Below are 21,814 nucleotides of genomic sequence, written 5' to 3' on the forward strand. Positions count from 1 at the left end.
GGGGGCGAATGCTAGTAGTTCAGAAAGGCTAACGTAGAGGGTAGGAGAAAAAAAACTGCGAAGAGATGAGTTACTGAGAGGTCAGTTCATTAAGGAGGTAATGCTAAAGAAGGGGGGTTTAATCCTGAAGGTAAGGCTACTCTGCACACTTGTAATCATACAATTAATTTAATTTTTTATTTAATGACTATCTTCCCCAAAGGCTGTACTCCAAAAAGGCTAAATCTCACAGAGCTTTTATCCCTATAATTCCAGCATCTAAAATGTTACCTGGCACACGTGGGAGTTAATACATATTTGCTGAATGACTGAGTAACTGAAGAAACCCTATAAGAATTTTAAGGAAATGATATATAATCAGATTTGTGTATTAGAAAAATCATTCTGGCGGTAAGACAGAGAATGGTTTAGAGGTAATAGCTGTATTAGCTAGCTTAGGCTGCCATAACAAAATACCAGAGTGAGTGACTTATACAACAGAAATTAATTTTCTTGCCGTTCTAAAGGTTGGAAGTCTGAGATCAGGGTACCAGCATGGTTGGGTTCTGGCGAGGGCTCTCTTACTGGCCTGCAGACAGCTGCCTTCTCGCCACATCCCCACATGGCAGAGAGAGGGAGAGACAGCAAGCAATCCAGTGTCCTTCTTATAAGGGCACTAATCCCATTAGCAAGGCCGCAGCCTCATGACCTCATCTAACTCTAATTATCTCCCAAAGATTCTGTCTCCAAATACCATCACATTGGGCATAAGGGCTTCAATATTTGTATTTTTGAGGATACAATTCAGTCCACAGCTGTAGGAAAGGAGAAAAGACAGCAGGAGGTGAATGTAGTAACTTGCCTAAGAGATGAGGGTATAAACTAAAGTAGTGACAATGCAGAGGAAGAGGAAAGACTGAGAAATAGTAATCATTCCTACTTGGGCTGGAATTATTAAACTGTTAAAAACCTTCCTAGGATATTCTTTTTCCTGAATTTGAAAATTATAGACTTTTTCGTGTAGTAACTCTATTTGCACACCAGTTTTTTGTTTTTTGTTTTGTTTTTTTGTTTGTTTTTTTTGTTTTTTGAGACAGAGTCTCTCTCTGTCGCCCAGGCTGGAGTGAAGTGGCCCGATCTCGGCTCACTGCAACCTCCATACCCCAGGTTCAAGCGATTCTCCTGCCTCATCCTCCTGAGTAGCTGGGATTACAGCTGCCCACCACCACGCCCAGCTAAGTTTTTGTATTTTTGGTAGAGACCGAGTTTCGCCATGTTGGCCAGGCTGGTCTCAAACTCCTGACCTCAGATGATCCACCTGCCTCAGCCTCCCAAAGTGCTAGGATTACAGGCATGAGCCACCACACTTGGCCAGTATTTTTGTTTTTAATGTAGATGAATTTTCAAAATCAAACTGAGAATAAAGGGATATAACATTTAACAAACAACCACAGAATTTATTAAACATACAACATTACAGAAACATTTTAATATGCCATTGATATGTAGTCTTCAAAACGTTTTAAAAACTGTGGTAATACTAAAAGTGAAACTCATAGAATTTCAGTATTTTAAAGGGATAATAAGGGACGTTAACCACAAAATACAAAGCATTTCACTTTTTATGTTTGTCTTTTAAGTTAAATATTAAAAATTTTATATTTAAAAAATGTTTATTATTTATACAGCACATTAATCATCGAGACCCCCCTGCCCCCACAGCTAAAGTCATTCTAGGTCAGAATGCACGGATACTGCTCTCAATACTAGTATGTATTACTCCCAGTGCACACATATTGATAATCAAGGCTTGAACAGTTTGTGCCCTGGCTTATTGCTGGCAACAGAGTAATTCAGTCCGGAGTACAGAACATGTACAAATGCATTTTCATCAATATCTGGCTCTGATACACCCAGTCTGAGCCACCAATATCTGGCTCAGGCACTTATGATAATGGCCCAAGACACTGCTCAGGATCTTAAGGTAAACAAGTTGTCACCTAATTCTGTCAGCCCAGCAATCAAAGCACATTTTTGAGAGGGAATGTTCTGACTTCCGTATCAGTCGTGATATTTCCGAATAATTCTATACTTGTCATAATGAAACACAAGCACGCTTTTGGTATTGGCCCTTCAAAACATTAAGAAACTGGTGGTACCAACATACCATTTTTGACATTGTTGTATTTTAACATTTTTTCTGCTTTTGAAAGGAATACACGCTCATCATTAAAATATTTTGAATAATAAAATGCACAAAGAACAAAAACATTGTCTAGAATCTTGCCACTCAGAGACAATCATGTCATAATATTCTCATGTATTTCCTTTCAGATTTTTAAAATTGTGGGCATTTGTAATTTTATAAGGTTTGTAACTTCCTTCTGAAAACTTGTGTATTCAGATGTCTATGTAAATATGAATCTGTATTATGCACCTTAAATGGCTGTGTAGTTTTCACATCTTATGTACTATGATTTAACTGACCAGTGTAAATTACAGTGATCAGTTACACTTATTTAGTGCTTACTCTATGCCAGGCACTGTAATAAGCGTTTTGCTTGTACTAATTCATTTGATCCTCACAACCCTATTATTCCTGTTTCTTACACATGAGGAAACTGAGACACCAAGAGGTGAAGCAATTTGTCCAATCACTCAATGTGGGACATTTAATGGCTGGCAATGCTTTGATCCTTTAGACAATGTTGCCATGTATACCTTTGTTCATGTTTTAAAAGAATGTCTTTAGGATTAATTTGCCGAAATGGAATTGCTGGGTCCTAAGGTTTTAAAAATTTTTTTACATGCTTCCAAATATTTCCCTTAGGAAGATTATACAGTATTTACACTTCATCCAACAGTATGTGAGTGTCTGACTCCTCACATCCCTGATTCTTTGCAATTTTTTTCTTTTTTTGAGACGGAGTTTCGCTCCCGGGTTCAAACGATTCCCAGCCTCAGCCTCCCGAATAGCTGGGATTACAAGCGCGCACCACCACGCCCGGCTAATTTTTTGTACTTTTAGTAGAGACGGGGTTTCACCATGGCCAGGCTGGTCTTGAACTCCTGACCTCAGGTGATCTGCCGGCCTCGGCCTCCCAGAGTGCTGGGATTACAGGCGTGAGCCACCGCGCCCGGCCGATTCTTTGTAATTTTTACCTAAATGACAAAACATTATCTAACTGCTACTTTAATTTGCACATTTCACTTTTAGAGGTGGGACTTCATTTTTAATGAATTTTTAAGCACTCTTTGATTACTATGTATTAATCCTGTGTTGACATGTCAATATTAGTTTCCACGCTACATTTGGAGATGCCGTAATTTGCGGGATAATTTCCATTTACGTACAAGATGTGCTTACTAAGTTTGTTCCAAGTGGGACGCAACATCTCTAGTAGATGCTCCTTAAAACTTCTCCATCACACAGAGAATAATTTTTATTGGTTAACTAAACTTATAAGTAAAATAAATAAACCAACATTTTGGGTTGCTAGGAATCACTCACTGATCAACTTTTAGCTCCAGTTTTTTTCTGTTTTCTTTTTTTTGCTCAGTCTAGGGAGGCTATCTTGGGCTGTGAAAGACATGTCACCAACCATCACAGCTGCTGAGTGATTGCACGGTTAGTCAGTAGGTGCCAACGCCCTGCTAGAAGAGCTGTCTGCAGATTCCAAAGCCGGGCGTTCAGGGACTCCCGGGAAGGAGCCAGCGTTACCTCAGCCTCTCCGAGGGACACGCGCGCCCTGAACACTCCCCTCTTGGGATTCAGGCCAATTCGTTCAGCTCCCATGACTTCATCCGAGCAAGTTTGTCACCTCACGCAGCTAATTAAACTGTTTACCTAGAAGATGATCCAAAGGAATTTCCATTTCCTTCCAGAGGGAATACAAGGTTATGATAACCGAGAGAGCGAGAGGAAAAAAGGCGCACAGCTCGACCCGAACTCAACCTGCTTTCTTTCTCCTGGCTCTCCCAGTCACTCCTGGGGTTGTTAGTAGGCTTCAGCACGCCTGAAGGACCCCGTCCTACGGAGACTCCTAGCCAAGGGAAAAGCAGAAAACACAAGAACTAATTCCACTCTTATGTGTGACTAATTAAAAGAGGAGTCAGGCAGAGGGGACTCCCTGTTCAGCCTTTACCGATGGGGCAGGCTCGGGGCAGCTTTGAGACAGGCAGCGCCAAGGTCGCCCAGATTCCCGACAAGCTCCGCGCGGGGGCTTCCTCGGCTCCTTGCTGTTGCCGCCGCCGCAGCTGCTGCCGCGGTTGGTGGGGTTGGGTGAGAGGAGGAGCTGTCGCGGACCCTGTAGAGTCGGTCTCTGTTGCTCTTTTTGCCTGAGGAGTCTTCCATCCTACGTCGAGCTCTGACTCCCGTGCTGTCGAGAGGGAGTCCCCGGGGACACCTCGGCACGCAGCGGAGATGCCTCTTTTTGCCACCAATCCCTTCGATCAGGATGTTGGTAAGTGTTTTTGCCTCTCCCTGCCCATTCCTCACCGGACTGCACGCTCACTCTGCCAGCCCCTGCCTGCATTCAGGACCCTCGGGCCAGGGCCAAGGAAGAGCTCGCTCTTCCCCTTTCCTGAGGCTCCCTCCTTCAGAGCTGGGAGGAGGTTGAGGGCTTGGCGCATCCTCTTTGAAAGAAATGGGACTCATCCTGTGAAATGGGCCTTGAGCTAGGACTGTAGGTTGCCAAAGAACTGCTGAATGGGTTGGTGTAAAGGGCCTGGGAGGAGCAGCTGGTGTAGCATCTGGTGCAGGGACTGTGCTTCTGGAAGAACAGCGAAGGGCTTAAGGCGTATGTTGGCTAGATTAGGATTGTAAACCCTGTACCAAAAGTGCTTGCCTAGACAAATAAATGTTGAGCGTCTGGAACTGGCAGAATGTTTTAGGTAAGGTTCCTTAGAGGATTTTAAAATCTTTTGTAACGGTAACTGAAGGAGGGAGCTCTGGTTAAGGGTAGACTCTCAAACATGTTAGGAGCGATGAAGATGAAATACTTGGCAACGACTGAAACCGAATTGAGGACCTGAGCCTTTGGGATGTCTCTCTTAGGCTAGGTCTCTGCACTTTAAAAGGTGTAAAGAAGTGTGGAAGAAGTTGTTGAATCTGGAAAGAGTTTGAAATGCTACATTTTTGTTGTTTTCTGAATCACTGGTATTAGGTACTGATGATGTCAATTCAATAGGTTTGCTTTTGGTTTTTAATTTTATTTTATTTTATTTTTTTCTGACTTGAAGATAATAATTATGGGAATTTGAGTTTCCGGGGAGAGAATTTTGGTTTAATTTGAACGCACGTAGGAACTACCTTGGCACACAAGTGTGGAATGAAAGCAAGCCAAATACCATTTCCAAATCCCTTATGGCAGAATGTAATCATTACTGTGAATAAGGACAACCTTATGAATTTACTTGTCTTTGTGTATTTTAATTATGAAAGGTGGATGTTGAATTTTTCTTTTTAAACTCTTCCTTAGAGCATGTCACTGAAACTTGGAAGTTTATATAAGAGTAGAAAAAAGTTCACTCCTTACCTCTGCCACTTCTCAGCTCACGGTGAAATCATAGGCAAGTTAAATTCTTTGAGTTCCAGTGTTCTTGTCTTTAAAGAGGGGAAAACACATCATTCCATTCTGCAGTTAAATAATATGTCTAGAGGGCCTGCTACAGTACCTTTATGTGGTTGGCACTTACTAGATGCTACCTTTTTTGTTCCACCTTAAATGAGTGTCCTGAATCTTAGCAGTGGACAGAACCTTGGAGATCACCGATTATACTTAATGAATTGGAAAATTGCATTTAATTTAATAAGCAGTTAGCACACACTACAGGACACAGCAGCTCAGTGACATAAGAGATACAGTGATGAGCAAGGCCTAGTTGCTGTTCTCAAGCAGTTTTACATCTCACTACATGAATCTCTAGGGGAAATACTTAAAACAGCTTCTTAATACTTGCTTCTTCTGTTTACAGCACCTTTGTCTAGTTTTCTTGGTCCTGTATAATTTAGCTAGCAACTACCCAATCACCTTTATATTCTACTGACTTTGTGAACACATATTTGCATTGGATTCAGGTAAATTTCTTAATGTCAAACCCGTTCCTAGTAGCTGTACCACCCAGTTCAAACACAGGCACCTTCTTGCCTTTATGCTTTTGTCCTACGCTTATGCTTTCTTTTATCTTTCAACATATCCTTGTGTGTTAAGGCCAACTCAGAATCCAACTTGTTACACCTGAGTCATTTCCTGATTACTGTAGCAAAGGGTTTCTCAGTAGCAACGTTATTGACGGTTTGGGCCAGGTAAATATCTTTGTCATAGGAGTTTGTCCTGTGCAATGTAGGGTGTTCAGCCTTATCCCTGGCCTTTATCCACTAGATGCCGGTGACACCCAGCCCCCACTCATGATTTTAGAAGTCTCAGGACATTGCTAAATGCCCCCTGGAAGGACAAAATACCTCCCAGTTGAGAACCGCTGCACTAGTCCACTCTAATTTCCACCTTCTTACAAAATCCTCTAACTTATTTTAGCATTTTTGCCTTTACCGAATTATTTAGCATTCAAGATAGTTTTATACTCCTTAATGAGAGGTTGCTACATAGGAGGTGTTTAATAATGTTTGTTGAGTTGAGAATGTGTCAGTTGAGCCTGCCAGACATTATACTTCTTCAGTGTAGCAACATTGTTTTGCTCCAGAAAAGCTTACTTTTTAAAGTTGCTCAGGTTTTGGTATTGGACCAATTCTCTTCTCACAATCCTTGTATTGAAATATTACAAAAGGTTTATCTAAGAAGACCCCTCAGAGATTCCCAGTACATAAGCCTTGCACAGAGTCCAGTAGACTCATATTATTTTTTAATAGTATAACATATAGAATACAGTGTATAGAATACACTTAACAATTTTTTCTTTCACCATATCTACCAATGAATATGTCATAACATTAAAGTAACTCATTTGATACAGTTATTTATCACTTAACACTCGTATACATTTGCACATCTTCAAAATTAATTGTCTTCAGTCTTAATCTGAGGCTGAATCAGAAATTCACTGACTGATTTATATAATATAACATTTTTTATAAAGAGACACAATGCTGGTGATAGCTTTTCCCTTGGAAGAAACACCGAAAGATGTTACTAGAATGTGAGCTCTGTGAGGACAGGGATTTTTGTTTGATTTTTTCACTGCCGTATCCCTAGCTGTAGACCAGTTTTTGGCATGCTGAAGAACTTTCAGTAAACATTTATGGAATAAATGAATCTCATTTTGGACATTATAATTCAAGAGCTGAATTTAGAAGAAACGTAAAGATAACTTATTTCATCAAGTTTGTATTTCAAAGTCTCTAGTGACTTCCACCTTGCCAAATCCAATGGTCACTTTCTAGTCCATTTCTTTTTTGATCTCTTAAGCATTCCTCTTTGATATACAGTATTTTATTCATGGGATTTCAGGACACCAAACTTTTTCTCATTTTCTACTTAGCTCCTTTTAAATTTTTTTGCTTCCCCTTTTTGCAACTTCTAAAAGTTGAGTGCCCTGCGGCTCAGTTCCGGAGCCTCTTCTCTCCTTCCACTTTTTTTTTTCCCTTAGAGTATTAGGAAGCAATTTAGCTTAGTGTTAAGAATTCAGACTGGGGCCACACTGCTTGGATTCAGTCCCAGGTTTGCTGCTTACCGGTAGTGTGATTTTTGGCCTAGTTGCTTAGATAATCTGTGTCTCAGTTTCCTTATCTTTAATATGGAATATAAGAGTAATAATAGTTCTTACCTCAGAGAGTTGTTAAGAGGGTTGAGTTAATATTTGTAAAGCACTTAGAAAAATTTCTGTACTTTTTATTAAGTAAGATTTTAAAAAGAACCTCATCTAATTTCTTAGCTTTAAATACCTAGCGTATTCTGGTGACTCCTGGATTTATGTTCTTACTCTCAGCCTCTTGCCTGAGCTCTCGACCTAGATATCCATCTCCTTACTGAGCATCTCCATTTGGATTCTGCTTAGAGTCTAAAAACAAACATTCAAAAACTCAATTCTTAGTTCTTTGCCCAAACCTGCTCATTCCTTCATCCTTGCCCTTCTCAGTAGACGACAACATGATTACTGTTTCCTGTCACTGAGCTCCAATGTCTAGGAGTATCACTGATTCTTCTTATTTCTTCACACTTCACATTCATCCTATCAGCAAGATATTTTGGCTGTACTTTAAAAATATATCCAGAATTTCATTGACAGGTGAAACTAGCTGGACTTCCTGGGTCAAGTGGGGACTTGGAGAACTTTTCGGTCTTACAAGGGGATTGTAAAATGCACCGATCAGTGCTCTGTAAAAACGCACCAATCAGTGCTCTGTAGCTAGCTGGAGGTTTGTAAAATGCACCAATCAGTGCTCTGTAGCTAGCTAGAGGTTTGTAAAATGGACCAATTAGCACTCTGTAAAATGAACCAATCAGCAGGACATGGGCGGGGACAAATAAGAGAATAAAAGCTGGGCACCCTAGCCAGCAGCAGCAACCGGCTCGGGTCCCCTTCCATGCTGTGGAAGCTTTGTTCTTTCACTCTGCACAATAAATCTTGGTGCTGCTCACTCTTTGGGTCCGTGCTACCTTTAAGAGCTGTAACACTCACCACAAAGGTCCGTGGCTTCATTCTTGACGTCAGCGAGACCACAAACCCACCAGAGGGAACAAACTCCGGACACATCATCACCTTTTTCTGTCTCACCATTCTTACCTTACTTCAGTCATTGTTATCTCTTATAGTCAGTGGCAAGAGCCTTCTGGTAGGTTTCTTTGTTACCACTCTTGCCTCTACAATCAGTTCTCATTTACAAAGGTCAGTGATCTTTTAAAAATGTTAGATAATGTCAGTTACCTGCTCAGAGTTCTCTGGTAGCTTCCTATCCTACTTAAAGGGAAATGCAAGTTTTTTTATTGTGGCTCACAATATGGCTTCTTCCTGTGTGTCTGATATGATTATGATCTCCAGACTCACTCTCTTGAATTCCAGGCTTCTTAAATCTGAACGCTCCAAGCTCATTCCTGCCTCTGTAGCTATATGGTACTCTTTGCCTGGGATACTCCTCACCCAGGTATTTGAAGGTCTGGATATTCATCACACCCATTCAGGACTCTGTTCAAACGTCATTTTCTGAGACGCTTTACCTAATAATCTTCTGTAAAAAATATCCTTCTTGGGCTGAATGCAGTGGCTCACGCCAGTAACCCCTACACTTTGGGAGGCTGAGGCAGGAGGATTCCTTGAGGCCAGGAATTGGAGACCAGTCTGGGCAACATAATGAGACCCTGTCTCTACAAACAATAAAAAAGTTAGCTGGCATGGTGGTATGCCTGTAGTCCCATTTACTCGGGATGCTGAATCCAGAGGATTGGTTGAGCCTGGGAGGTCAAGGCTGCAGTGAGCTATGACTGCACTCTTGCCTGGGCAAGAGAGTGAGACCCTGTCTTTAAAAAAAAAAAAAAAAGAATTAAAAAAAATGCATCTTTACCCTCTCACTCTGTTTCTTTGTTCCATTTCTTTTTCTTTATAGTACTTAGTGACCTGACATTAATTGATTGATTATCTTTTGTGTGGAATATAAACTCCATTAAGATGAGAACTTTTCATTTTTTTTCCCCTAATACTTTAGGGATAGTGTCTGGTACATAGAAAGCACTCAAGAATTATTTATCAAATAATGAATTATTGGTGTTTTTCTAGAACATTAGTCTTGTATTTCTATTTGCTGTTCTTTTTTCCCTCCAAAACAAATTCATCTGTCAGAAAACTGAAGTTATCTTTCTAAGTCTGGCTCTTCATTCATTATTTGGTAACATTTTTGTTTGTTTTTAAATCTTTTTTTACATTAATATAGATGGGGTTTTGCCATATTGGCCAGGCTGGTCTTGAACTCCTAGCCTCAAGTGATCTGCCTGCCTCAGCCTCCCAAAGTGCTGGGATTACCGATGTGAGGCACCCGGGCCCAGCCAATTTGGTAATATTTTAGTGTTGTAGTTATCTTGACTTGAAACCCAAGAGGCATCTTTGAATCATTTCCCTGCCTCTGCTAAATCATCATATGTCTTTGTTTCTATAATAGAATATTTGTGTTCCCAGTCAGACTGCTTTGGGCCAGTCCACATCCTACATACTTGGACATTTTTTTAGTCTGCTTTGCTTAGTCCAGTCAGCCTCATAAATCATAAGCTAGATGAATCTTAAATGTTAATGTCACATTCTCCTGAAGTGTGATATGATAGAAAGACCTTGGGCTTTGGGCTTAAATTGCACCTGCAGCATTTACTCTTAGTAAATGGACACAATGTATAGTTGGATAGGTATAGGACCCCTTTGAATTCACTTTCTACTTTGGTAAATAGGGATAGCAATATCCATTATACATCATGCGGATGCTATGAGGATTACTTGTGAAAACACATGACATTCTGACTCTTTACCAGAGTTGAATAGGCTTCAAATATCTCAAGTTCAGCATGTTCAAAACCATTTGAAATTTTTCTTCTCAATTATGCTTTTTGTCTGTTTTGATAGTTGGTACCTAAGTTTACTTAGTCATACAAGTCGTGAACTTGGGAGTAATTCTTGACTTCTGTAGTTGTAATTTTCTACATTCTAAACAACAAATGTATCCTGTCTACCCTGTGCCAGATACCCTGGTACCGAATATGCCCTCAAGGATTCCAGGTTTAGATCACCACTCTCTCAGATTAGTACAGTAGCTTCCAGCTGTTCTTCCCTGCTTCCAGTTTTTCCCTAGTTATTTTCCAGATGGCTGATGGTGATATTTTTAAAATGTGAATGTACGCGTGGCCCCTCCGTTTAAAATATTTCTAGAGAGGGCTGGGCGCGGTGGCTCACGCCTATAATCCCAGCACTTTGGGAGGCCGAGGTGGGCGGATTATGAGGTCAGCAGATCGAGACCATCCTGGCTAACATGGTGAAACCCCATCTCTACTAAAAATACAAAAAATTAGCCGGGCGTAGTGGCGGGCGCCTGTAGTCCCAGCTACTCAGGAGGCTGAGGCAGGAGAATAGCGTGAACCTGGGAGGCGGAGCTTGCGGTGAGCCAAGATCACACCACTGCATTCCAGCCTTGGTGACAGAGCGAGAGTCCGTCTCAAAAAAAAAAAAAAAAAAAAAAAAAAAGTTCTGAAGAATCTACCGCTTTCACAGTACTTTGAACTTTTCAGCAGGGCATGTAAGGCCTCTTATATTTGGCTTCTTTGTGACTCTTGAGCCTCACCTTCCACTTTTTTCTTGCAGGTGTATTTCACTCCTTATTGGTTTTATGCCACTGTGCTCTTCAGGTGTGGATCCTCTGGCTTGACATACCTATTTGTTCATTAATCCTCAGTAGGTTTGTTTTGAGGAGATGATGCATGTAAAGCACTTAGCATAGCACCTGGCATGTAGTAACCAATGGATACGTTTTAGCTCCTTTTATAATCAAGTTAGAAATAGATGTGGGGACTATTGGATTCTAAGGTGTGCAATCAGTTACTGTTAAAACATAGGAGAGAAATGTGAAAATTCAGAATACAAGTATGTTAACCATCTGATATCCACTGGATTAAGAACTTGTATTCTTTGATTCTTCTGTCCCTATTTTACCTCTCCTCTAAGCTGTTTTTTCTAATGCCTTTAGGTTATCATTTCTGTTTTATGTTCCTCTCTGAAATGCTTCCATGCTGTTCTTTTGATACCTACTTCTTTTTCTGGTTAGCAGAGCTTCAGATTACATTTCTTTGCAGATACAGTTTCCAGGAGGATCAGGGATATTAGATGAAAGATTTTTGAAGAATTGATTTGCAAAGAGGATAATTTCTTTCAGACTTACTTTTCCATTGGCCATTTTTAATGAACTGTTACATCTTCGGGCTGACTGAATGACAGTCCTTTCCTCACCACCTAAATGTGATGCGAAGTCCTCCTGTCAGCATTTCTTACCTCCCCAGATCTTTGACAGTGATAAATTTTGAGAAAAATCAAAAGTTGCTGCTTATCAGAAAAAGTTCTCTAATCTTTTGAAAAGACTATTGAAATTCAAATGAGGCTCTGTGTATGTTTTTTCTGGGTACTGCTGGGCAGATTTCTCAATCTCCTCTTTTTGAGTATTAGTGTAAGGATATTCTCAGGATAAAATGAGATCATTATGAAGCTTTGAATTCTTTAGAAGCAAGTCTGTTATTTTTGTCACTTTTCCTTTTCCCACAAACCCTGTTTTTGTCTTAGAAAATAAATAGTTTTGACTTCATTTGCTATTCACAGAACCATGTTGTAGGTAGTTTATATCCTTCTGATTAAAAAAAAAATACTTGTTCTTTTATAACTGAGAAGAATTGTGCCACTGATTTTGATGATTTTGAGACAGCCTCAATAAATGATGTGAACAATTTTAGATTTCTGAAGTGGGTTGTGTTTCTGATCCATCCATACAAATATGAATCAGATGCTGATTCTATTTATGTGTAGGAAAGTAATAAAGTAGTTCATGAGTTTTCAACATAATATCTGCTGATAACTGTATCATATGTTCCTGGATGTATCATTAATCAAGAACTGTAAGATAGCACTCAACTATGATAGTAGGCAATTTATATTTGATCAGATAAACTGTTAACTTTTTAATAAGTTTTAATATGCTTAGCTATTATGTTTTTGAATAAGGTGGCAGGTTTTAGAATTTAAGTGTGTTCTTTTAAAAAATGCACTTAAAAAAAAAACAACCTGCTTGGCTACCAGTCAGTGAGAATGATGAATTAATTATTAAAATGCACTACCAGACCAAAGTAATAACATGCTTTCCTTTTCTAAGATGAAGTAAGTGATATTGTTCAGAATGACTCACTCAATATTCTTGGGCTTTAGAGGGGTTGAGTACCTAGGGAGCAGGCTCTGGGACTCCTCAATCAGAGCACTTCCACTTGGGTTTGCTGTATATATTGGGTTTCTTTTAAGATAAAATTCTCTTATAGTGTTGAATGATAAATAATTTGACTAGTCTTTGTTTCCTAGGAGACAGCCTCTAAATCCTTGGAATTTTCTGAGTGATAAGAGCATCTTTGTTATTTTTGGTGGGCCCCTGGGATAATAGCTTAGTTTATGCTAATAAGATGACTTGGTCTGGGGGCTGGCCACTCCAGAAGGACTAACCATGTGATTAAAGGATTTGGGCTTTGAGTCATAGGACCTCCTGGGAAGGATAGGGACCTGGAGATTAAGTTCCACTGTGTGGTCCTATTTCATAAATCATACCTATATAATGACACCCCAATTGTAGAATCCATGAAGGTACATTTCCCAGTCCATCGAAACCTACACTGAAAAACCGAATATTCCGCGATAAAAACTGGAAACAAGCTATTTGTGAAAATGCTTTGTGATGTGTGGATTCATCTCACAGAGTTAAATGTTTGTTTTGGTAAAACAGGTTGTTTTGATAAAACAGGATAAAAACTCTGAACACTGAAGCTCAGTTAAGCATTCTGGTAGGTGATACACATTGTGGTGATACACACTGATGTATTTGGAGGGTGATGAAGCTTCCTAGCACAGAAGCTTTATGTTTGGAACCCTCCCAGATCTAGCTCCATACAGGTGGTTGTTTGTATCTGGGGGTCTGCATTCATGGATTCAAACAACAGTGGATCAAAACTTGTAGAGGAAAAAATATCATGTCTGTACCGAACACATAGAGACATTTTTCTTGTCATTATGCCCTATACAGTATAGTTATTTACATAACATTTACATTGAATTAGGCATGATAAGTGATCTAGAGAAATTAAAGTATATAGGAGGATGTGCAAAGGCTTTATGCAAATTCAATGCCATTTTATATTAGGGACTTGAGCATCCATACATTTTGGTATCTGTGGAAGATCCTGGAACCAATCTCCCATGTATACCAAGAGACAACTGCGTATCTCTATTGGCTGGTCCTGGTTTGTGTTTTTTGTGATAAAACTCTAATTGTAAGTATAGTACTTTCTATGTGAGTTGCTATGGTGAATTATCAATCCTGAAGGGTAGTGGGAACTTCCAGTTTGTATCCAGTTGGTCAGAAGTGCCTGGGGACCCCAGAGCTTGTGTCTGAGGTTTGAAGTGAAGGGAGTCTTATGGAGAGCTGTGTCTTCAACCTGTGAAGTCTTTGCTGACTGGGTAGTTAGCATCAGAAGTATGCTAGCCCTCTGGGTAGTTAGCAGTGCATTGTAGAGGGTTTCTGCATTTGAAAGTTAAGTTTGAAAACCATTAAACCAGGTATTATTGTTATTATTATTATTATTATTATTTTTGAGACGGAGGCTTGCTCTGTCACCCAGGCTGGAGTGCAGTGGCATGATCTCAGCTCACTGCAAGCTCCACCTCCCAGGTTCACGCCATTCTCCTGCCTCAGCCTCCCAGGTAGCTGGGACTACATGCGCCCACCACCAAGCCTGGCTAATTTTTTGTATTTTTAGTAGAGATGGGGTTTCACTGTGTTAGCCAGGATGGTCTCTATCTCCTGACCTCGTGATCCGCCCACCTCGGCCTCCCAAAGTGCTGGGATTACAGGCGTGGGTCACCGCGCCCGGCTAAACCAGGTATTATTTAAGGTCAATGTGTTACTATGACTTTTTGTGGCTTCATATTGCAGATACATGAGTAGTCTTATCATTTTTTTGAGCACTTAGACTGAGAGCATGGTTATTGAAATAATTCCCCAAAGTAAACCTTATTATTTTCAAGGGATTTACAATATATTACCAAAACTTGAGCAATGATAGGTAAATTTGAGCTAGTTCTCCTCTTTTCCCTCTTCCAAACTGCTTTTACATATTGGTGATAGATTAATATTTTTCAAAAAAGTCTAGGTCTTGTTGTTTTATTTCCTTATTTGGAACTCTTGGCATTCTGATGTTTCTTGAAGCAGTGCAAACACCTGAGATAGTATTTTAGGTCTTAATGTTGTTCTCTTATTATTCCAAATTTTCACAAAGTAGTCTGTATTTCAGCCAGCCTAGATTCTTCATTATACTTCTTTTCTGTTTTGATGACTTTACTTTTTACTTTATTCACTTAATTAGAAACAGATTAATTCATTATTCTGTCCTCTTCTTATTTTCTAAATACATCGGGAAGCCCTTCCTGATTCTCCTCTTCTCTCTCTCCAGGATCTTTACCTGTCTTTCAATTTGCTTTGGGCTTTGCATTATTTGAAACCCTTTCAATCTTAAATCTAAGTCTATCTGCTGGTTTCATTTCCTTTCTTAGATTGTAAGCTACTTCTGGTAGGGTATGGCGTGGACTAGAAGGCTATTCCATTTTGCTGAATATGTGTTCAAATTTTATAATTGCCTGCAAGTAAATCGCTTTATTGAGATCATGAATTGTTTGGATCTTTGTATTAATTCTTATGCAAGGAATTAATCTGTGTGAATAACCTGCTTTTGCTATCTTCTATGTTAGAAGATTTTAGGGTAGCTAGGTAGGTACCCTACCTAACCAATACCTATTGGTTATTATCCACTTGGTCTTTACTAGATGCTTATTTTAGTTGTCCGGTGGTAGTGACTAACTAGCAGGTGATGCTGTGATATATAGCAGGTATTATACACCTGTAAAATATTTGGTCAGAGTTGACTGCTTTTTATTTTCTGCGATTAAACTCACTTGACGTACTTCTGCTCTCAGTAGTAGGTCAAAATGAGGAAATAAGTGTACTCTGTTGATCTAGGCAACAGGGCATGGAGGAGAGTATGGAAACAAGAATTTCATTATCACTTGGTCAAGACCAACCATTACAGATAAGAATCTTGGTATGAGTCATTTCCACTGTCCCCCCAACCCATCTGTGTTTAAAAAATGGAGACTGCTATTGAAGATCTTGGTGATGTTATCTTTCAGCATATCTGCTCTTTGAATTGCAGTGTTCCAGTCAAGACTGGTTACCCTCTGCTTCTGTACAGCTGTTGTTTTGAAATATAATGATTTTTTTAAAGTTTTTTTTCCTCCTACGTGTGTATTCTTTTTCTCTTAAGTTGCTTTTTTCTTTTTCTTTTTTTGGTCTTTTTCTTTATCTTCCACATTAGAAGGTAGTTTCCTCACGCCTGCAATCCCAGCACTTTGGGAGGCCAAGGTGGGTGAGTCACCAGGTCAGGAGATTGAGACCATCCTGGCTAACACAGTGAAACCCGTCTCTACTAAAAATACAAAAAAATTAGCTGGACGTTGTGGCATGTGCCTGTAGTCCCAGCTACTCAGGAGGCTGAGGCAGGAGAATTGCTTGGACCTGGGAGGTGGAGGTTGCAGTGAGCCGAGATCGCACCACTGCACTCCAGCCTGGGTGACAGAGCGAGACTCCGTCTTAAAAAAAAAAAAAAAAAAAAAGATAGTTTCAGATAGCTTGCTTGTTTGCCCATGGCTAATACTGGAGAAATCAAAAGCACATTGGAAGTTCTGATCATGTGGTTAGGTCTCATTGACTTTTAACTTCACTGTAGGTTGGTCTGGTGGGCCATTGACTATGGAATTCTGCCTCTCCACTCCTCCCCCTGCAATATTACTGTCTTTAGGTCTTTCCTCTTGGGCTGACATAGAGCCCCCAGAAAAGAGTCTTCTGATTTCTTGGAGGGTAACGGTACAAATGTTGAATCAGCCTTGCATACCTGGGATGAATCTTAATTGGTCATGGCATATGTAATTCTTTTTATACATTGTTGGATTCAGTTTGCTGATGTTTTTGTAATCGGTGGAAGGTATCTGAGTTACTGGCAGTGAGTCTGTATGGGTCTGCACCAATCTCAGTTCTTGCCTCCTCAGAAGAAAGAATTCATCTAAGGGGCGTAAGGCAGAAAAAGAGATGAAGCAAGTTTCAGAGCAGGAGTGGAAGTTTATTAAAAAGCTTTACAGCAGGAAAGAAAGGAAAGTGCCCTTGGAAGAAATCCAAGTGGGTGACTTGAAGAGTAAGTGCGGTTTTTAACTTTGATCCCAGGACTCTATAGGTTGGCCCCTTTCCTGTGATTCTTCCCTTAGAGTGGGCGGCCCACATGCGCAGTGCCCTCCTTATACTTGGGAGGTGAGCATGCACAGTGTGTTTAGAAAGTTGTATGCATGCCCATCGGAGGCTTTTTTCCCTTTTCTGGTGGAGTGCCCCAGGAAGGTCGTATACTGCCATTTTGTCTCTTAATGCCCCTGCCTGGGCTCACTCACTCAGTGCCTGAGATTTTATTGGAGCCCCCTTTTTTGCTTCTCCCTGGTGCCTGCATTCATTTAACACTTTAATGTTTAACACTTGTGGACTGTTAGGAGCTTCTCTCTCCTTGGTGCAAGCTGCCAATTTATCACTTTTAGAGAGGCAATGTGATAATTGCTGAATCACCCAACATTCCTAGTGGGTGTGGGAGAACCCTCTCCTGCCCTGCTCGTACCTGTCTTACTACCTGTAACATTTTGTTGAGGATTTTTGCATTTATGTTCATGAGAGATATTGGCCTATAGTTTTCTTGTAATGTTTTTGTCTGGTTTTGGTATCAGAGTAATGCTGGCCTCACAGAATGAGTTAGGAAGTATCTCCTCTGCTTCTATATACTGCAAGAGATTACACAGAATTAGTATAATTTCTTCCTTAAATATTTGGTAAAATTCACCAGTGAACCCATCTGGGCCTGTGCTTTCTGTTTTAGAAGATTATTAATTATTGATTCAGTTTTTTAAATAGATGTGGGCCATTTAGATTGTCTGTTTCTTGTATGTATTTCAGCAGATTATGTCTTTCAAGGCATTGGTCCATTTCATCTAGGTTATCAATTTTGTGGGCATAGAGTTGTTCATAATATTCCTTCATTTTCTTTTTAATGTCCATGGGGTTTGTAGTGATGTCCCTTCTTTCATTTCTGATATTAGTAATTGGTGTTTTCTCTCTCTTTTTTTTTTTTCCTTAGTTTAGCTTGGCTAGCAGCATATCGGTTTTATTGATCTTTTAAAATAACCAGCTTTTGGTTGTGCTGATTTTCTGTATTGGTCTTATGTTCAGATTCATTGGTTTCTGCTCTAATTTTTGTTGTTTGTTTTCTTCTGCTTGCTTAGTTTGGATTTAATTTGCTCTTCTAGTTTCCTAAGGTAGAAGCTTATTGATTTTAGATCTTGATTCTTTTTAAAAATATGTATTCAATGCTATAAATTTCCCTCTAACCACTGCTTTTGTTGCATCCCACAAATTTTGCGAAGTTGTATTTTCACTTAGTTCAAAGTATTTTAAAATTTCTTTTAAGTTTTTTTTTTACTCTTGTTTAAAAGTGTGTTAGTCTCCATGTACTTTGGGATTTTCCAGCTATCTTTCTGTTATTGATTTCTAGTTTATTCCATTGTAATCACTATGTGATTTCTATTGTTTTAGATTTGTCTTGGTTTGTTTTATGACCCAGAAGGTGGTCTGTCTTGGTGAATGCTGCATGAGAGCTTGGGAAGAATGTGTATTCTGTTGTTTTTGGATGAAGTAGTCTATAAATGTCAATTGTCAATTATATACAGTTGATTGATGGTGTTGTTGAGTTCAACTATGTCCTTTCTGATTTTCTGCCTACCTGACCTGTCCATTTCTTCTTTTTTTGGTCTTGCTCTGTCGCCCAGGCTGGAGTGCAGTGGTGCAATCTTGGTTCACTGCAACCTCCACCTCCCGGGTTTGAGTGATCCTCCTATCTCAGCCTCCTGAGTATGTTCAGCTAATTTTTGTATTTTTTTTGTAGAGGAGAGGTTTCGTCATGTTGCCCAGGCTGGTCTTGAACTCCTGGGCTCAAATGATCTGCCCACTTCGGCCTCCCAAAGTGTTGGGATTACAGGCAAAAGCCACTGTGCCTGGCCTCATCCTTTAACTTTTAATCTCTATGTGTTTTTATGTCTAAAATGAGTTTCTTATAGACAACATACAGTTGTGTGTTGTTTTTTGATTCACTTTGACAATTTCTGCCTTTTAATTGGTGTAGTATGCAGACCATTGACATGTAAAGTGACTGTTAATATACTTGTGTTAATAGCTACCATATTTGTTACTGTTTTCTATTCATTGCCCTTGTTCTTTGTTCCCATTTTCTATTTCACTCTTTTTTTGGCTTTTGTGATTTTAATTAAGCAGTTTGCATGATTCCATTTTATCTCCTTTCTTAGCATAGCAGTTATACTTTTTTAAAATCTTTTTTTTTTAGTAATTGCCTAAGAGTTTTCAAGATACATTCACAACTAATCCAAGTCTGCTTTCAGATAACACTGTACCACTTCATGTGTAATGCAAGTACCTTATAATAAATGAAAATATTATTAATTCCTCCTTCCCATCCCTTGCGTCATTGCTGTCATTCATTCTACTTACATGGAAGCATACATAAGAATATCAGAATATATATAAAATCGTAGGTAATGAATACATTGTTGCTGTTATTATTTAGAATAAACTATTTTTTGTTAGAGTAAGAAGAAAAATAAAAATAAAAATAAAAGTTATTATTTTTATCTTCGGGTATTCCATCTTTATTCTCTTCCTCTTTTTTTTTTTTTTTTTTTTTTAAAGAGATAGGATCTTGCTCTGTTGCCTAACTGGAGTGCAGTGTACGATCATAGCTAACTTCAGCCTCAACCTCTTGGGCTCAAGTGATCCTCCCACTTCAGCCTTCTCGGTAGCTGGGAATACAGGTGCATGCCACCAGGCCCAGCTAATTATTTTTTTAAAGATGAGGCCTTGCTCTGCTGCCCAGACTGGTCTCCAATTCCCATCCTCAAGTGATCCTCCCACCTCGGCCTCCCAAAATGCTGGGATTACAGGCATGAGCCATCCTGCCTAGCCTCTAATGCTGTTTTTTTCTTTATGTAGATACAAGTTTCTGACTTACATAATTTTTCTTCTTTGTTAAGAAGTTCTGCTAACATTGCTTTCAAGGCAGGTGTACTTGCAGTAGAGTCCCTCAATTTTTGTTGAGAAAGTGTTTATTTCCTCTTCACTTTTGAAGAATAATTTCTTAGGATAAACAACAGGCAGTTATTTTCTCTGAACACTTAAATACGTTTTTATTTAAGGAAATACATTCAGTCAAAACTTGGTTTTCTTTCCTTCAGTCCCCTCTCCATATTATCAAAAAAAAAATCCACAAAACTAGCTAAATAATTAACTTAATTACCTGAAACATTTTTATAAAGATTTACTAGCAAGTAAATAATCTTTTGCTAATGAAAATAGTATTTCTTATTTTAGTCTTTCTATTTGCAGATGGTGGTAGACCTATATATAATTTTTTTATAAAGAAAAATCAATGCCTTTTATTTTATACTAAGTAAAGAGGCAACTGCATTGTGAATAGGGAAAATAATTGCAAGAGATAATGAGCGTACATCTTTTCAAGATGGCCATGAAAATAACTAGAATGCTGGCAACTATTCTGATTTGTTGTTAAGACTTGATTATACTATAGTTTTGTGATTTAAATGTGATTATGTATCTTTTAAAGATTTGAAAAATAATGTTTCTGCAATCCCCTTTACAATCTACAGAGAAAGCAACCAGCGAGATGAATACTGCTGAGGACTGGGGCCTCATTTTGGATATCTGTGATAAAGTTGGTCAGTCTCGCACTGGGTAAGTATTTAGCGTTTCAAAGGATTTTTATTCTTTCTTTTTAAAAAACACGAAAGGCCAGGTGCAGTGGCTTGCACCTGTAGGCCCAGCCCCTCGGTAGGATGAGGTGGGAGGATCGCTTGAGCCCAGGAGTTAGAGGCTGCAGTGTGTGATGATTACACCCATGAACAGCCAATGTACACGAGTCAGGGCAACATAGTGAGACCCCGTCTCTTAAAAAAGAAGGATCAGGAGGTAAAGTATATTAGCATTAAATTTAGTTTAAAAAGAGAATATTTTTATTAAAAAGATTTGAAGAATCATCTCATTTAGTTTATATACCTTTTAACCAGTTAGGGTAACATGGCTGGTAAAAAGTTGATGCTTTAATCACCCTCCTTCATATTTTCTTCTGGAATCTCATTTTTTCCACTGATTTTAGAGTTATTAGTGATTTCTCAGTTACCAAGTTTCATGGTTATTTATGAGTTCTTTTCTCCTTTGTCAGATTTGCAACATTCCACCTAATGAATCAGTTAGGTGGAATTGAAAAGAAATTTTTTCTTTCTGTTGAAAGATTAGGGGAATAGAATCTTAAACTTTTTGGCATGTATTACAGAGCTTTCCAAACAGTACAGTAATTGGATTAATTGGTGTGGATATGGGTGATTTCTTCAGCTCCTGGGCTAACAGCATTAGCCTTTAGCAGTTTCATTTACTGCTTTATGCCACACAAATGGTATTGTCTTATTTGTGCACTTTCATGTGAAAAAGATTAGGAAGCACTGCTGCATTACACTTGATATTTGCAGTGGTAATATGAAGCCTTTGCCAGTGTCTTCTTTGCCTCTTCTTCCTTCACCCCTAAATATAGATGTTCCTGAAACTTTCCCTGATTCATTTTTTATTTCTAAGATTTTTTCTTTTGGTCTCACAACTTCCAGCTGTCTTTATGTAGATGGCATCTGTATTTGCAGCTCTTCTTACTCAAGCACTAGTCTTATGGACACTGCATTATTTCTGGATATCGTTCTATATAAGCCTTCATCTCACCATCTAGAAACCAGAACTCCTGTCTCTTTTTGTTTTAAACCTACTTTCTTTCAGTTTTTCCATTTCTATTAATGACAAGATGATTCTTTCATTGCACTAAAACTTGAGTCACCTTCACATTTATTACTCAATTCTGTCCATCTGCCTTCATAATCTCTCAAAATGTTGACG

The 21,814-nt window shown here is 39.1% G+C and overlaps 1 protein-coding gene and 1 long non-coding RNA gene across 11 annotated transcripts in view, besides 4 other annotated features; one reads left to right on the forward strand and one right to left on the reverse strand.

The window, feature by feature from the left end:
- Window positions 1-1,346: 1,346 nt before the first annotated feature.
- STAM-DT (STAM divergent transcript) lies at window positions 1,347-3,981 on the reverse strand. The gene has a single exon (NR_110370.1). It is a non-coding gene; the product is annotated as an STAM divergent transcript (long non-coding RNA).
- Window positions 3,168-3,816: an enhancer, noted in NCBI's record as "H3K27ac-H3K4me1 hESC enhancer chr10:17685104-17685752 (GRCh37/hg19 assembly coordinates)". NCBI's record gives its function as "activates a minimal SCP1, AML or CMV promoter by ChIP-STARR-seq in primed H9 embryonic stem cells {active_cell/tissue: H9 hESC(primed)}" and the evidence as "EXISTENCE:reporter gene assay evidence [ECO:0000049][PMID:30033119]".
- Window positions 3,817-4,466: an enhancer, noted in NCBI's record as "H3K27ac hESC enhancer chr10:17685753-17686402 (GRCh37/hg19 assembly coordinates)". NCBI's record gives its function as "activates a minimal SCP1, AML or CMV promoter by ChIP-STARR-seq in naive H9 embryonic stem cells {active_cell/tissue: H9 hESC(naive)}" and the evidence as "EXISTENCE:reporter gene assay evidence [ECO:0000049][PMID:30033119]".
- Window positions 3,889-3,958: an enhancer, noted in NCBI's record as "active region_3109". NCBI's record gives its function as "activates an Ori minimal core promoter by ATAC-STARR-seq in GM12878 lymphoblastoid cells {active_cell/tissue: GM12878}" and the evidence as "EXISTENCE:reporter gene assay evidence [ECO:0000049][PMID:35858748]".
- Window positions 4,109-4,228: an enhancer, noted in NCBI's record as "active region_3110". NCBI's record gives its function as "activates an Ori minimal core promoter by ATAC-STARR-seq in GM12878 lymphoblastoid cells {active_cell/tissue: GM12878}" and the evidence as "EXISTENCE:reporter gene assay evidence [ECO:0000049][PMID:35858748]".
- STAM (signal transducing adaptor molecule) overlaps window positions 4,214-21,814 on the forward strand; it is a 72,674-nt gene continuing 55,073 nt past the window's right edge. For 7 of the 10 annotated variants that reach the window (NM_001324284.2, NM_001324285.2, NM_001324288.2 and 4 more), the window contains exons 1-2: window positions 4,214-4,442; window positions 20,527-20,611. Coding sequence is in view for 4 of the 10 variants with exons in the window: in NM_003473.4 (NP_003464.1) it covers window positions 4,403-4,442; window positions 20,527-20,611 (125 nt within the window). In the remaining 6 variants the exon portion in view is untranslated. The remainder of the gene's footprint in view (window positions 4,443-20,526; window positions 20,612-21,814) is intronic. The other 3 variants (NM_001324289.2, NM_001324283.2, NM_001324286.2) reach the window with 1 other exon arrangement.

This window comes from Homo sapiens, chromosome 10 (genome assembly GCF_000001405.40).
Source record: "Homo sapiens chromosome 10, GRCh38.p14 Primary Assembly".
Taxonomy (NCBI): Eukaryota; Metazoa; Chordata; class Mammalia; order Primates; family Hominidae; genus Homo; species Homo sapiens.